We start from the raw sequence: 1,969 nt of genomic DNA on the forward strand, positions 1-1,969 counted from the left end.
CCTCTATATGGACCTGAGATAAACATAAAAGGATGGCAAGAGTAGTAGGAGAGATATAAAAAAAAGAGAATAAATAAACCATATAATAAAATGAGTAAGAATGAGTGATTAGAGGAATGGTAGATTATGGTAATATAGAAGCTAGTGATTTATAGGCTATTAGGTATTCAAAAAAGCTCAGTTATTTTTGTTACTGTTTTTGTTTTAATATTTTAACTAGGATAGAAGAACAATAGTCTTGAAGTTGTATAATGTATAAGTAGAAAACCTATCTTACCCTCATATCCTGTGCCACCAGGTTTCAGGGAGAAAAATTATGTGATAGGACTGCACAAGAATTCCTATCTCAAGAGCACTCAGAAAATAAATTCAGAATACAGGAAATTTTGTTACCGAGTAACTTCTAGAGACACAATGGATCATGAATGCTATGTACCGAACCATATAGGGGTAACAATCTTGGTGACAAAGGGATGACATGGAGTCCTTATATTCTTCATGTTGCCTTAGATACCAAAAACTAGAACATAATGAAATTAGTATTATTGGCCTCACAGGGAAAAAAGATAATGCCAATGATAGCCTGATCTTATAACAGTGAGGCAGGAATCATATGTGTATGGGCCAGATGAGATAGTAAGGATAAGTGGGGAGGAGCCAAGATGGCCGAATAGGAACAGCTCCGGTCTACAGCTCCCAGCGTGAGCGACGCAGAAGACGGGTGATTTCTGCATTTCCATCTGAGGTACCGGGTTCATCTCACTAGGGAGTGCCAGACAGTGGGCGCACGCAGGTCAGTGGGTGCGTGCACTGTGCGCGAGCTGAAGCAGGGCGAGGCATTGCCTCACTTGGGAAGCGCAAGGGGTCAGGGAGTTCCCTTTCTGAGTCAAAGAAAGGGGTGACGGGACGGCACCTGGAAAATCGGGTCACTCCCACCCGAATACTGCGCTTTTCCGACGGGCTTAAAAAACGGTGCATCACGAGATTATATCCCGCACCTGGCTCCAAGGGTCCTACGCCCACGGAGTCTCGCTGATTGCTAGCACAGCAGTCTGAGATCAAACTGCAAGGCGGCAGCGAGGCTGGGGGAGGGGCGCCCGCCATTGCCCAGGCTTGCTTAGGTAAACAAAGCAGCCGGGAAGCTCGAACTGGGTGGAGCCCACCACAGCTCAAGGAGGCCTGCGTGCCTCTGTAGGCTCCACCTCTGGGGGCAGGGCACAGACAAACAAAAAGACAGCAGTAACCTCTGCAGACTTAAATGTCCCTGTCTGACAGCTTTGAAGAGAGCAGTGGTTCTCCCAGCACGCAGCTGGAGATCTGAGAACGGGCAGACTGCCTCCTCAAGTGGGTCCCTGACCCCTGACCCCCGAGCAGCCTAACTGGGAGGCACCCCCCAGCAGGGGCACACTGACACCTCACAGGGCAGGGTATTCCAACAGACCTGCAGCTGAGGGTCCTCTCTGTTAGAAGGAAAACTAACAAACAGAAAGGACATCCACACCAAAAACCCATCTGTACATCACCATCATCAAGGATAAGTGGTCTACCCAATAACAAGCAATAATATGCCAGATACAGTGGCTCATGCCTGTAATCCCAGCACTTTGGGAGGCCAAGAGGGGCAGATCACTTGAGGTCAGGAGTTCGAGACCAAACTGACCAACATGGTGAAACCCCATCTCTACTAAAAATACAAAATTTAGCCAGGTTTGGTGGCATGTGCCTGTAATCCTAGCTACTGGGGAGGCTGAGGCACCGGAATGGTTTGAAACCAGGAGGCGGAGGTTGCAGTGAGCCCAGGTGGCGCCACTGCACTCCATGCTGAGAGACAGAGCCAGATTCCGTCTGAAAAAAAAAGACAAGTAATAATATAGGTTTCCCCTCACCAAATACATTGGTTTTAAGTATTCGCATTGTGGAATAATTAATCTGTCCAGCTAAAGCAAAGATTCTTATACCCTTTATATAG

The 1,969-nt window shown here is 47.2% G+C and overlaps 1 annotated feature.

Moving 5' to 3' along the window:
- Positions 363-921: an enhancer, noted in NCBI's record as "H3K27ac-H3K4me1 hESC enhancer chr13:55146084-55146642 (GRCh37/hg19 assembly coordinates)". NCBI's record gives its function as "activates a minimal SCP1, AML or CMV promoter by ChIP-STARR-seq in primed H9 embryonic stem cells {active_cell/tissue: H9 hESC(primed)}" and the evidence as "EXISTENCE:reporter gene assay evidence [ECO:0000049][PMID:30033119]".

The sequence above is a fragment of the Homo sapiens genome, chromosome 13 (assembly GCF_000001405.40).
Source record: "Homo sapiens chromosome 13, GRCh38.p14 Primary Assembly".
Taxonomy (NCBI): Eukaryota; Metazoa; Chordata; class Mammalia; order Primates; family Hominidae; genus Homo; species Homo sapiens.